Below are 14,701 nucleotides of genomic sequence, written 5' to 3' on the forward strand. Positions count from 1 at the left end.
ATGTTCAAAATGAAAAAAAGTCACCTGGGCCAGGAGCAGAGGCTCACACCTGTAATCCCAGCACTTTGGGAGGCCGAGGTGGGTGGATCACAAGGTCAGGAGATCGAGACCATCCTGGTTAACGTGGTGAAACCCCATCTCTACAAAAATACAAAAAATTAGCTGGGCTTAGCAGTGGGCATCTGTAGCCCCAGCTACTCGGGAGATTGAGGCAGGAGAATGGCATGAACCTGGGAGGTAGAGCTTGCAGTGAGCTGAGATTGCGCCACTGTACCAGCCTAGGTGACAGAGCGAGACTCCGTCTCAAAAAAAAAAAAAAAAAGAAAAAAAAGAAAAAAGTCACCTGAAAACTGAAAAAACTACTTATCCTTTATCTACCCATGCCCCCTCCCCAAAGCATCAATTTGGTTCTACACGGAATCAGGAATAAAAGTAGAAATTTTATTACCAGAGATCTGTGCAACGCAATCTTAGGGTGTGGGGGAAGTAATCTAGTTTCTGTGTAAATAAAACCCCAAACCCTCACTGTACATATTTATCTTCCAAACCAATGATGAAACCTTGACCTACAGTATTTGTAACTGTTATTTATTTCTCATATACAAAGACACATGTGTTCTAAATGATGAGTTTATTATCTTTTGAACTAGTCAAGTGTCAGCTGCCCAAGTACAATTAAGCTAAACAGGCTTCTTTTCAATAAACTTGAAACAGAAAGGGCGAAACAAAACACATGTGTACCCGAAATATGGAGAATGGTAGTATTCTCTTATGAAATAGTAAGTTTGTTATCATTTGCAGTTTTCTGTTTATGGTCTGTCAGAGCAGTGACTTCAGAGGGGCAACCTGGACAGTTGACTGCTCCCATCACCAAAACCAAACTACACACACACACACACACACACACACACACACACACACACACACACACACACACCCTCTCCGCCCTAGCCCCGTCAATACCCACACATAATATAACCAAATACCTTTAGATCATAAACTTGCTGAAGTCAGGGGCTATGTTTTCTTTATATTCATTCGCTTCTAACACTTAGTAATTTGTTATGCAGCAATAAAAAATGCGTATCATACATAAGTATCTTTTTTCTGGAGCTCCTTTCGTGGTCTCCCAGCTGGTATTACATCAGCCTAATAGGTGTCCATAGCACTCTGAACGTCTCCCTTGTAACAATCATCATATTAATTGACTTGTTTCATGTTCAATGGCTCTAACTCTGGAGATAGGAATCTTGTTTATTCCCTGTTTTTATACCCAGAGTATGATAAATAGTAGCTATTTTAAAAAAGTGCAACAGCTTAAAACAAATAATCTTTTAGTTCACAGTTTTAAGGGCAGTAATTCAGGCATGGTGTGACTGGGTTCTCTGCTGAGGGTTACACAAAGTTGAAATCAAGGTGTTGATGGGCTGTGTTCTCACCTAGAGACCTGACTAAAGGAAAAAAAATCTGTTTTTTGGCTCATTCAGGAAATGGTCAGTTCTTTGTCCTTCTAAGACCTCCATTTTCCTTTCCCAGTTGTCAGCCAGAGGTCACCCTCCACTAGCAGAGAATGCCTGAGTTCTTACCATATGGCTCCCTCCATCTTCAAAGCCAGCAAGAGAGAATATCCTTCACATCAAATCCCTCTCATACGTCTAATCTCCTACTCTCTTTGTTCCTAACTCTAGACCCAGATTTAGAGTTCATGTGATTAGGGCACACCCATCTAGATAATCTCACTTACCTAGAGTCAGCTTTGTGCTCTGCCAGATGACATAAACTAATCAGGAATGAGACCTGATATGGTTTGGCTCTGTATCCCTACCCAAATTTAATCTTAAATTGTAATAATCCCTACGTGTCAAGGATGGGACTAGGTGGAGGTAAATGAATCATGGGGGGCAGTTCCCCCATGCTATTCTCATGATAATAAGTGAGTCTCAGGAGATCTGATGGTTGTATAAGTATGTAGCATTTGCCCTGCTGGCAGTCATTCTCTCTCCTGTCACCCTGTGAAGAGGTGCCTTCTGCCATGATTGTAAGTTTCCTGAGGCCCCCACAGCCATGCAGAACTGTGAGTCAATTAAACCTCTTTTTTAATAAATTACCCAGTCTCAGGTAGTTCTTCATAGCAGAGGGAGAACAAACTCATACAATACCCTATCATGCTTACAATACCAGAAATAATACAGGGGACCATCTTAAAAGTCTGCCTACCATAAACTGCAGCCTGAAAGCTTAAGACGAGGCAAAGGAAGAGGGTGAGAATGCAGGTACAACTGATAATCTGATATAAGGAAATAACATTAAAAAGCAGGGAGAAGAAATTATGCATGATTGGACTTGCCTTCACAGGAACCAGCATAGTAACTGGCACATATTACTAGACAAGTGAATAAACCAACATACCAAATATTATCAAATTAAACAAGCAAGTATTTACTAAAGAGCTTATATGCTTATAGCTACAAGAGAAAAGAAATTACTTATAATGCTAAGCCACTAGGTAGAATTGAGAGGTGACATACCAGGGCAGACAATATGGACAAAAAACTAAATTTGACATAAAGAAAACTGCGTTAAGATATCTTTGAGATCTTGGAAAGTGACCAAATGGAAGCAACCAAATCAAATAATTCCAAGGGCCTTAGTTTTGCCTCATCTGTAACGGAGTTGATTTAACTACTTAATCTTTAAGATCCCTTTCCAGTGCTGACTATCCTACAATATGGAAGGCATGGTTCTTGCCCCAGGACAAATTCCCTGTAGGTATTTTAGAATCTAGTTATTAATTCATGTTGTAATCTAGACACTGCTCTATAATAATATATAAAAATACAGACAGCATCCTATTCTAAGTACTGAATTTATTCCATTCTACAAATTTAGCAGTAATCAGATATTTCTAAGGCTTACTTGCTTTTTGTAGAATAATAAAACACTAAAATTACACATCAATAACAGGTCCTGTAAAGGCCAAAAATGGCAGGCCCACAGCTAACATCACACTTAACGTACAAAGTTGAAAGCTTTCTTCTAAGACGAGGGACAAGAATGCTGCCCACCCTCACCACTCCTATCCACCATAGTGCTGCAAGTCCTAGCCAGAACAATTAGGCAAGAGAAAGAAGTAAAAGGCATCCTAATAAAAAAGAAAGAAATGAAATTTTATTTGCAGACATGATCTTACACAGAGAAATCCCTAAAGAGACACCAAAAAATGACTGAAACTGACAAATGAATTAAGTTGCAAGATACAAAATCAACATACAAAAAAAATCAGTAGCCTTTCTGTATACTAACAACAAACTATCTAAAAAGGAAATTAAGAAAACAATCCCATTTATAATAGCAACAACAAAAAAAAGTAACATATTTAGGTGAAAATTTAACCAAACAGGTAAAAGATCTGTATACTAAAAACTATAAAACATTAATGAAAACAAATTGAAGAAAACACAAATAAATGAGAAGATATACTGTGTTCATGAACTAAAAAATTAATATTGTTAAAATGTCCATATTATCCAAAGCAATCCACAAATTCAGTGCAATCCCTATCAAAATTCCAATGTAATTTTTCACAGAAAATAGAAAAAACAACCCTTAAATTCATATGAAACAATAAAAGACCATGAATAGTTAAAAACAATAACCAGCGAAAAAAACAAAGCTGGAGGCATCACACTGCTGATTTCAAAATATATTATAAAGCTACTGTAATCAAGACAGCATAGTATTGGCATAAAAACAGACACAGTGACCAATGGAACAGGACAGAAAGCCCAGAAATAAATTCACTCATTTATGGTCACTTGATTTTTGACAAAGGTGCCAAGAACACATAATGTGGAAAGAACAGCCTCTTCAATAAAAGATGTTAGGAAAACTGGATATCCAGATGCAGAAGAATGAAACTGGATCCTTATCTCATACCATATATAAAAATCAGCTCAAAATACATTAAAGACTTAAATATAAGACCTGAAATTATAAAACTATAAACAAGGCGGGGAAGCACCACAATACTGGTCTGGGCAATATTTTTTTGGATATGACCTGAAAGCACAAGCAACAAAAACAAAAACTGGCAAATGGGACTGCATTAAATGAAAAAGCTTTTGCACAGAAAAAAAAAAAATCACATGTATATATTAGCAAACCGTATATTTGATAAAGAATTTATATTCAAAGTATATAATAAACTCAACTCAAAAGCAAGAAAACAACCTGATTAAAAGAGGCAAAGGACCTGTCATGACTAATTTTAGGTGTCCATCTGACTGAATTAAAGGATACTTAGATAGCTGGTATGGCATTATTTCTGTAGAAATCCATGAGGATGTTTCTGGAGGAGACTGGCATGTGAGTCAGTGGACTGAGTGGGGAAGATCTGCCCTCATTGTGGGCAGGTCTGGATGGAACAAAAAGGTGAAGGAAAAAAAAAATCACAAACAATAAGTGAAGTGATGGATATATTAGCTTGATTTAATCATCCCACATTGTATACATATACCAAAATATTACATTGTACTCTACAAATATATACAATTATGATTTGGCAATTAAAACTAATATTAATAATAAAAAGTAGAGGTGATGCCATCTGTGACTGGACAATTGTAATCATCAAATGCAATCCAGTTGTTCGGCAGGCTAATGTTTAGAATTTCTATTCCAGAAGTACTGCTGGAATATAAAAGAAAATTACCATTTCACAAAATATGTAATGTCTAAGTCTGAAAACATTCAGTGGAATGTCAGCTGCTTCAATCAATAAAATTCTTAATGCTGTATACAAAGTTTTGTTGTTGTTGTTTTTAATTCCCTGTGAGTTTAGGAGACAGTCTGCAGCGAACAAAGGGGCTGGAATTCTCAGGACAGAGCAACAGAGGAGAAAGTAGTACATGGAGAGACTCCCAAAGATCTGCAGAATCTCGCCTTAGTACTCAACTGAGTACTGAGTGGGAAAGGAGTGTAAGAATACTACCTGAAGCTGGTGAAAGAAACAGCAGTGTTTTTCAACCTTTTCTTCCTTACTACTCTTTTCTGACAGTTTTTCCTAATCATTCCCCATGAAATCTTAATACCACTGTATTTCTAAGTTATGCATTTTGGCCATTTAGAGGGCCACAAATCATTGGAATATGTAAGATTTTTCATATACCTACATACCCACAAAGAATCTATTTCCTCTCAATTAGGAGTGATATCACCTCCAACGAGAATGACGGATCACAGAGAACAGAGTGTTCTGTTCCAACTAGCCAGTTAGGGAAAACTAATAATTCCTGGAGCATGGAGTAGAGTACTCAGGAGAAACTTGTTTCAGTAGCGCAGAATTATTCGGATATTTTAAAATTAAATAAAATGCCACTTACATTAGGACAAAAAATTATAAAATACAGATAAATCTGACAAAAGACATTTATAATGAAATTACAAAATATTGGTGAGAGAAATTAATAAGCTTTGTCATATACTCTGCATCATACACAAATACACAAATATTAAGTCAAAATAGCACATTTAAATGTGTGAACTCTGAAAGGGTCAATCCTTCAAGAGGAATCCTGAGTGGCTAAGTGGAACTAAATTTGAAATACAGTCAAGCAGCCATTTGGTAATTAGAGGTTACACACATACTGAGTGTTCAGGGAAAAATGCCATACTCACTAAACTTTGGGACTTTCATAGTTGTCTGTTCTGTGTATGCTACCTGAATCAATCAATAGACTGTGATCTGTGCCGAACCATCAGAACTCAACAAGTTTCAAACAATCAGAACTAACTGAGTTTGCATCCCTCATTTGTACAAGCAGATCAGAGTGGGAACCTGGGCGAGAACTTTTGCCATAAAAGACAAACTTTCTCTTCATTCTCTTAGAACACACCTTTGTTTTGTACAGAAGGCTGCATTTTCCTGGTGTACAAACTGTTAGCTGGCATAAAGCCTCTTTCCTTTTTGGAAGAAAATCCTTTTCAGTGGATTTGTTGATAAATGTGAAACTTAAAACTATAAAACTTCTAGAAGATATGAGCAAAACAACATGACAATGGGACAGTTTTTTTTTAAGATACAACACCAAAACCGAGATCCATAAAAGAATTGATAAATGTGGATGTCATCAAAATAAAACTTGAGCTTTTCAAAAACACTCTTAAGAGAATGAAAATACAGCCACAGATCGAGGATTTGTTTCCAGAACATATAAATAAGAACTCTGAAAACTCAAGAGTAAGAAAACAATCCAATTAAAAAAACTCACAAGAACATTTGAAAAGACATTTCACCAAAGATAAATGGACTGACAAGATCACGAAAAGATTACAGAAATACAAATTAAGACCAAATTGAGATATTACTATTATTAAAATATTTAAGATTTTAAAAGACTGATTATACGAAATATTTGTGAGAATGTTGAAAATTTAGGATTCTCATATCCTGCTGGTGAGAACGTAAAATGATACAATCAGTTTGGGAAACAGTTTGTCAGTTTCTTAAAAAGTTAAACAAGCATATTCAACCATTCCACCACTAAACATTTACACAAGAGAAAAAAAAAGCACACATTCATGCAAGGACTTGTACACACATGTTCACAGTACATTTAATTGTAACAGATGAAACAGAGAAGCACCTAAATGTTTACGAAAGGAGTGGATAAACAAATTCTGTATATCATTACAATGGAATACTACTCAGCAACAGAAAGAAAGGAATAAGCTATTAATACATGCCACAACCTAGATGAATCTCAAAATAATTATGCTGAATGAAAAAAGCAGAAGAAATATTTGAAGTAATAATGACTCAGAGTTTCCCCCAAATGAACGTCAGATAACAAACCACAGATCCAGGAGAACACTAACAGGAAAAATATCCCCCAAAATATATCAAGGCATATCATATTTAAATTGCAGAAAATCAAAGATAAATACAACTCTGAAAGTAGCCAGAGGAAAAAACTTTACCCACACAGGGGCTAAGATAATAATTATGTCTGACTACGCCTCAGGAGCCATGAAAGCAAGAAAAGAGTCCGGAGAAATATTTAAAGCATTGACAGAAAAAAAAATACCACCAACCTAGAATTCTGGTACCCTGGGAATTGCCTCAAAAGTAAAGAATAAATACTTTCTCAGACAAACAAAAATTGAGAGAATTTGTCAGCTGAACTTCTCTCTCAGAAGAAAAATGTTATAGTCAGAAACTCAGATCTACATAAAAAAGGAAGAGCATCAAAGAAGGAGTAAGTTAAATAAAAACATTTTATTTGAATTGATCTAACAGACAATAGTTTGTTCAAAATAATGGCAGCAATATAATGACAAATGCTCACATATATGTGCTCATGTATGCTTATATGTAAGTGTAAGGAATGACAGCAGTGATACAAGGAATGATAAGGAGGAATTAGGATTCTTTTGTTGTTAGATCCTCATACTACCTGTCAAGTGGTATAGTGTTATTTGACAGCTAGATGTCCATTAGATTAATATGCATATTGTAGACTGTAAGACATTTACTTAAAAAAAAAAGAGGTATAACTGATATCCTAAGAAAGGAGAGAAAATATAATCACATGAAATGCTCAATTAAAACCACAGAAGGCAGAAGAAGAATGGACGACCAATGGTAACAAATACAAAACAGTAACAAAAATGATAAACAGTAATCCACCTATAACAAGAATCACTCTGAATGTCAATGGTCTAAAAACACCAATTAAAAGACAAAAATTGTCAGACTCGATCAAAAAACAATATCCAAGTATATATTGTCTGTAAAAAACCTTTTAAAATATAAAGATGCAAATAGTAGGCTAAAAGTAAATGAATGGAGAGGATTCTGAGAATACAGCAGAGTAGGAAGCACCAGGAATCTGTCTCCCCAACTAGAAAACAATTCCACTGGCAGAATCTGTCCAATATAACTATTTTGGAACTCTGTCATATAATGAAGCCTTGCTACTTTCAAGGAAAGACTCAGAGGGGTAAATTATGATTTACTGTGGTCATGGTAAATTGCAATTAATTTTGGTCAATTTCAGTTCTAAGCACAGTAGCAGCTACCCATAACCCACATCTCAGCCCCATGGCAGGTACCTGTGCCCAAACTATGAAACTATAAAAATGCAAAACTATAAAACTCCTGGAAGATAAAATAGAAAATCCAGATGATCTTGGGTTTGGGGATGACCTTTTAGATACAATACCAAAGGCATGTTCAATGAAGAAGAATCGATAAGCTGTGACTTCGTTAAAATTCAAAAGTTCTGCTCCGCAAAAGACATTGCCTAAGAATGAAAAGGCAGCCTGGGAGAAAATATTTCCAAAAGACCTATCAGATAAAGAACTGTTATCCAAAATCTACAAAGAAATCCCAAAACCTAACCAGAAGAACACAAACCTGTTTAAAAAACGGACCAAGGACTTTAACAGACATTTCACCAAAGAAGATATACAGATGGCAAATAAGCATATGAAAAGATACTCCACATCATGTCATCAGGGAATTGCAAATCAAAACAACAATAAGACACCACTACGCACCTATTAGAATGGTCAAAATCCAGAACACTGATAACACCAAATGCTGGCAAGGATATGAAACAATAGAGACTCTCATTTATACCTGCTATGAGTGCACACTGGTAAACAGCCACTTTGACAGGTTTTTTAACAAAACTAAACATACTCTTACCTTATGATCCTGCAATCATGTTATTTGATTTTACCCAAAGAAGCTGAAAATATACGTCCCAACAAAAACTTGCACGTGGAAGTTTATAGTAGCTTTATTCATAACTGCCAAAACTTGGAAGCAACCAAGATGCCCTTAAGTAGGTGAATGGATAAACTGTGGTACATTCAGATAATGGATTAAAAAGAAATGAGCTACCAAGCCATTAAAAAAACATAGAAGAAATGTAAATGCATACTGCTAAGTGAAAGACGCCAACCTGAAAAGGGTACATACTATATGATTCCAACTATATGACATTTTGGAAAAGGCAAAACTATGGAGACAATGTAAAAAAAATTACCAGGGACTGGGGGGAAGAACGAATAGAGGGTGCACAGAGGATACGGCAGTGAAACTACTCTGTATGAAACTATAATGCTGGATACATGTCATTATATACTTGTCCAAACTCATTCAATGTATAATACCAGGAGTGAACCCTAATGTAAACTCTGGTTTTTGAGCCATAATGATATGTATTAATGTAGGTACATCAATTTTAACAAATGTACCACTCTAATGGGAAATGTTGATAATGGGAAGGCTATTCATTTGTGGTGGCAGTAAAGTGTATGAGAAATGTCTGTATCTTCCTCTCAACACTGTTGTGAATTTAAAACTGCTCTACAACATAAAATCTATTACAAAAAAAAAGCCAGACCAAAAAAATGACATATTGTGTAATTCCATTTATATAACACTCTAGGAAAAAACAAAATGTACAAACCAGGTTAGTAATTACCAGGGAGAGGAGGGAGGAAGGGATTTCCAAGGGGCAAATGGAGTCCTTTGGGAGCCATAGAAATGTTAACTATCTTGACTGTGGTGATGGTTTCATAGGTGTATGCATGTATCAAAACTTATGAAATTTTACACTTTATATATATGCAGTTTATTATACATCGATTGTATCTCAATAAAAGTTTAAAAAAATAGTCTGAGGCACTAGCTGAGAACTTTCAGACCAAAGTTACTTCATTTCAGTATGAAATTTAGGACATAATTTATCATATTTTTGCTATACCATATAACTATCAACATCTGTATAAGTAACCATCAGCATTACTTCTGAGTATGCAAGTATTGATACTTGAGCTTTATAGAAAATGCCAGTATTTACCGTCCACCAATTCATATAAACATATGCACTAAAATTGCTTTAAATACTGAACCTAGAGGAAAGGTAGTCTATGAAGTTAATAATATATTTAATAACAGATAATAAATACATTTAAAATTTTTTGCTTGTCCATTTAAGTAGAATTTTTGTTAACTTGATGAAAAGATCTCATTTATTACCAATGAAGAGGGTTAATAATAACCCAAATGCCCTCTAAGAGGGAACTAGTTCTGCTAGTTAAATAAATTATGCTATGAAATAAATTATAAAGAATGAGGAAAGTCTCTATAGACTAATATGGACTGACTCCTAAAATACACTGGGAATGAAAAAGGAAAATGCAGAACTCATGTATAACATGCTTACTAAAAATAAATACCTGAGTGGAATACAAATTTCTGTATTTTGAACCTCCAAAAACTGCTGGTTCCAGTGGATAATACCTTCTTTGTTTCAGGACCATCAGAGTAATCATTTAGTCATAGTGACATAGGACATATACTTGGTTATGGATCTTGGGAGAAACCTCAACATTGACGAAGATAATTTACAAATTTGAAACTGGAATCTAGAGGCACTGGCCACAAAGAGCTGGAGGGAGGTGTCATTTCTCTCCTGGGAGAAAGCTGAGTTGGTTCTTCTCCCATGCCTGCCCCCACCTTCACTCCACGTTCCATACAAGCCAGCTGAAAGCTGGGTAGATACACCTGAGATAGGGATGGAGGGTTGTGGGCTCCAACACTAGTTACTGTGAATAGCTATAAGAAAAGACCATGTACACACATATGGTTTTAGGACAGAGAGTGCACACAGCCTCAAGTAATGAGTGAAGAGATTTTTTAAGAGCTCAGAAACATCAACAGCTTGGTGTACTGACAGTCAGCAGAAGCAACATGTGGCCACTAAGAAAGACTTGTTCAAGATTAGACTGCTTCTTGCTAATTTTCAGAAAAGACTGTATTTGCTGAGCACTTCATGTGAAAAATGTAAAATGAACATCATTTCAATGATTTCAGAAAGCGGTTTTGAAAACAAGGGATAATAATTTGGAGGACTACTTTTGCAATTCATTTTTGAATAATAAAGTATATCTAAATTCAGAAGCCAATAAGCAGAATATACAAGGTAACACTTTCAAAAATATTAAGTTATATGCTACATCTAAGATCTACCGCTTAGCTCTTAAATCAGCTCTTTAGAGTTTAAAAAGGGTTGCTCATAATCTCAGCCTTCCTATGTTTAAACACTAAAAACAGTTTGGCTGGATCCTTGTGTAATACTACTTTGACATTTTTATCTACCAAAAAAATATGGCACTAAAGAAGGCTTGTGTCTTATTTGTCTCATCACTTGTTTGCAATGATAAAATGTAACAGCACTTGGTATTATAAAAATTAGGATTATCTTTGTATCACAGCTTAAAAGGCAGGAGTTCATAGGGCACAGACATAACTATTTTAGAGAGAAACATCCATTTTCCAACTATTATTGCTTTATAGTACTATTTGGCAGAAGAAAAAATATTTCTCTCTCAACAATATGCTTTATTTCTCCAGTTACTATTAAGTCGGACATGGGTTCAAATTCCCATTCTGCTATACTGATTCTGCAGACGGTTAATTTTTGTGAATTTTAGTAGAAATGTTAACCTGTCAATTTTATAAAACTGTTGTACAAGTTAAATTGAGTAATACAAAATGGCTTATGCCTATGTCTGTCTCAAAAGTAAAGTTCTACAATTAACACCAATTTTAATACTCTTAATAAAAAATTAATATTTGTAGAAAATAATTTTCTTATAAAGAAGAATCAAAGTTTTCCTCTAAAATGTGGTATCATTAATATTTCAGATTAACCTATTTGGGTTCTACAACATGGCATTAAGTTCTAGTAAATCTTAGGGAAAGGCATTTATTATTTTGGTCACGAAAATCTAGAAACACAAATGAAAGCTTTTGGGCAAAAGCAGGAGGTCACTGAAAGTCATTTAGAATTTTTAGAGTGTCCTGAATTTGGAGTGGGGAAAGACTGTGAAGATCATTAATGTAACCCTACACATTTACCCCCCCAAAAAAAAAGAAGAGTGAGGGCTGAAGTTAACAGGATTCACTCAACTTGTATAGCCAATAAGGCTAAGAAGATATGAAAATCTAGGTCTTTCAACTTAGAGTCCAACTGTTCTTCACATTCTATGTACCACTCTGCTTTTAAAACATTTTGATTGCATTTCACCCTTTTATGGTTTACAGTGCTTCTTCCACATCCAGGTGACTTATTTTTCCAAAATTTTGCTATTTCAACAGTTTTTAGGCAACTAATAACCGTCCAGTTAGGTTCCTATCCAAACAACTATTTTCCCTTTCTTCCTTCCTATGAAAATCCTGATTTACTCCTGAATATGGCAATATATTCAATAAAGTCCACTGAAGCCCTATTCCTGCTCCAGGGGATGAACCAGGTGATGAACCAAGACTGATCTAGCAAAAAGCGAACCCCATTCTGCTTTGCTGGTGAATTAGTTTAGAGTAGTCTTGTAACCAATGGAACCTTAGGAAGGAATTTTGTGGGGACTTTCGAAGAGAGGTTTTCTCCTTTTTTTAAAAAAAAAAGAAAAGAAAAGAAAAGAAAATGTACAGGAGAGTCTCTTTTCCAATGTCTTTGGTTGTCTCCCATAAGTACATGATACAGCAGTCATCTCTTTATTATGAGAAAGCCAAGAGTTTCACAGAGAAGCTCACCCAGAGCTCTGACATTGCTGTTTTAAACAACCCCAAATTACCATGCTCTAGATTAAATTATTACACAAGCAAAAAACCTCTATTTATTCAGGTAGTCAATTATTATATCTGTGGCCAAAATCTGCCAAATATAAAACTCTAGTATTTGCTAGTGAAACTATGTTACATGACTTCTAGAAGACTTCATGTCATACCAAATAATATGAATATATAATTTTTTAAAATTAAAGTTTGTTAAAAATCTATTAGGGAAACAAAAAGTTGACTTAAAAAAATACAATTGACAAATCTTTAGCCAGACTAAGAAAAAAAGAGAAGAAGATCCAAATAAAATCAGAAATGAAAAAGGAGACATTACAACTTACACAGAAATTACGACTTACACAGACATTATGACTTATGCAGAAATCCAAAGGCTTGTTAGTGGTTACTGTAAGCAACTATATATGCTGATAAACTGGAAAATATAGAAGAAATGGACACATTCCTAGACATATACAACCTACCAAGATTGAAACAAGAGGAAATCCAAAACCAGAACAGACCAGTAACAAGTAATGAGATCAAAGCTGTAATAAAAAGTCTTCTAGTAATGAAAAGGCCAGGACATAATGGCTTCACTGCTGAATTCTACCAAACATTTAAAGAAGAACTAATACCAATCCTACTCAAAATATTCTAAAAAATAGAGGAGGGAATACTTCCAAATTCATTCAAGGCCAGTATTACCCTGATACCAAAACCAGACAAAGACACATCAAAAAAAGAAAACTACAGGCCAGTATCGCTGATGAGTATTAATGCAGAAATCCTCAACAAAATACTAGCACAACTGAATTCAACAATATATTAGAAAGATCATTCATCATGATCAAGTGGGATTTATCTGTGGGATGCAAGGATGGTTCAAAACACAAAATCAATTAACATGATATATCATATCAAAAAAATAAAGAATAACCATATGATCATTTCAACTGATGTTGAAAAAACATTTGATTAAAAAATTCAATATCCCTTCATGATAAAAACCCTCAAAAAACTGGATATGGAAGGAACATATCTCAACATAATAAAAGCCATATATGACAGACCCACAGCTAGTATCATGCTGAATGAGGAAAAACTGAAAATCTTTCCTCTAAGACCTGCAACACAAGGATGCCCACTGTCACCACTGTTATTTAACATAGTACTGGAAGTCCTATCTAGCTCAATCAGACAAGAGAAAGATATCAAAGGCATACAAATTGGGAAGGAAGAAGTCAAATTATACCTGTTTGTTGGTGATATAATCTTATATTTGGAAAAACCTAAACATTCCACAAGAAAACTAGAACTGATAAATTCAGTAAAGTTCCAGAATACAAAATCAATGTACAAACATCACTAGCATTTCTATATGCCAACAGTGAACAATGTGAAAAAGAAACTAAAAAGTAATCCTGTTTACAATAGCCATACATAAAATTAAATACTTAGGAATTAACCAAAGAAGTAAAAGATCTCTATAATGGAAACAATAAAACACGAATGAAGAAAATTGAAGAGGACACCAAAAAATGGAAAAATATTCCATGTTCATGGATTGGGATGAATCAACACTGTTAAAATGTCCTGGCAATCTATAGATTCAATGCAATCCCAATCAAAATACCAATGGAATTCTTCACAGGAATAGAAAAAATACTAAAATTTATATGGAACCAGAAAAGACCCAGAATAGCCAAAGCCACCCTAAGCAAAAAGAACAAAACTGGTGGAATCCCATTATCTAACTTCAAATTATGCTACAGACCTATCGTAACCAAAACAGCATGGTACTGTCACAAAAACAGACACGTGTACCAATAGAACAGAACAGAGAACCCAAAACCAAATCCAAACACCTACAGCAAACTCATTTTTGACAAAGGTGCCAAGAACATACACTGGGAAAAGACAAGTCTCTTTAATAAATGGTGCTGGGAAACTGGATAAACACATGCAAAATCATGAAACCAGACCCCTATCTCTTGCCATATACAAAATTCAAATCAAAATGCATTAAATACTTCAAACTGAATCTAATACAAGAAAACACTGGGGAAA

The 14,701-nt window shown here is 34.9% G+C and overlaps 1 protein-coding gene across 34 annotated transcripts in view; it reads right to left on the minus strand.

Annotated features, from left to right (window-relative positions):
- The window catches only part of ANKRD28 (ankyrin repeat domain 28), a 192,579-nt gene that overhangs the window by 109,731 nt on the left and 68,147 nt on the right, over window positions 1-14,701 (minus strand). For 2 of the 34 annotated variants that reach the window (NM_001349285.2, NM_001349284.2), the window contains exon 3: window positions 4,468-4,689. The exons of the other annotated variants lie outside the window; for them this stretch is intronic. In NM_001349285.2, the coding sequence (NP_001336214.1) occupies window positions 4,657-4,689 (33 nt within the window). In that variant the 3' untranslated portion in view covers window positions 4,468-4,656. Of the gene's footprint in view, window positions 1-4,467; window positions 4,690-14,701 lie in introns of those variants that run through there. 34 annotated transcript variants of the gene reach the window in all.

This window comes from Homo sapiens, chromosome 3 (genome assembly GCF_000001405.40).
Source record: "Homo sapiens chromosome 3, GRCh38.p14 Primary Assembly".
NCBI lineage: Eukaryota > Metazoa > Chordata > Mammalia > Primates > Hominidae > Homo > Homo sapiens.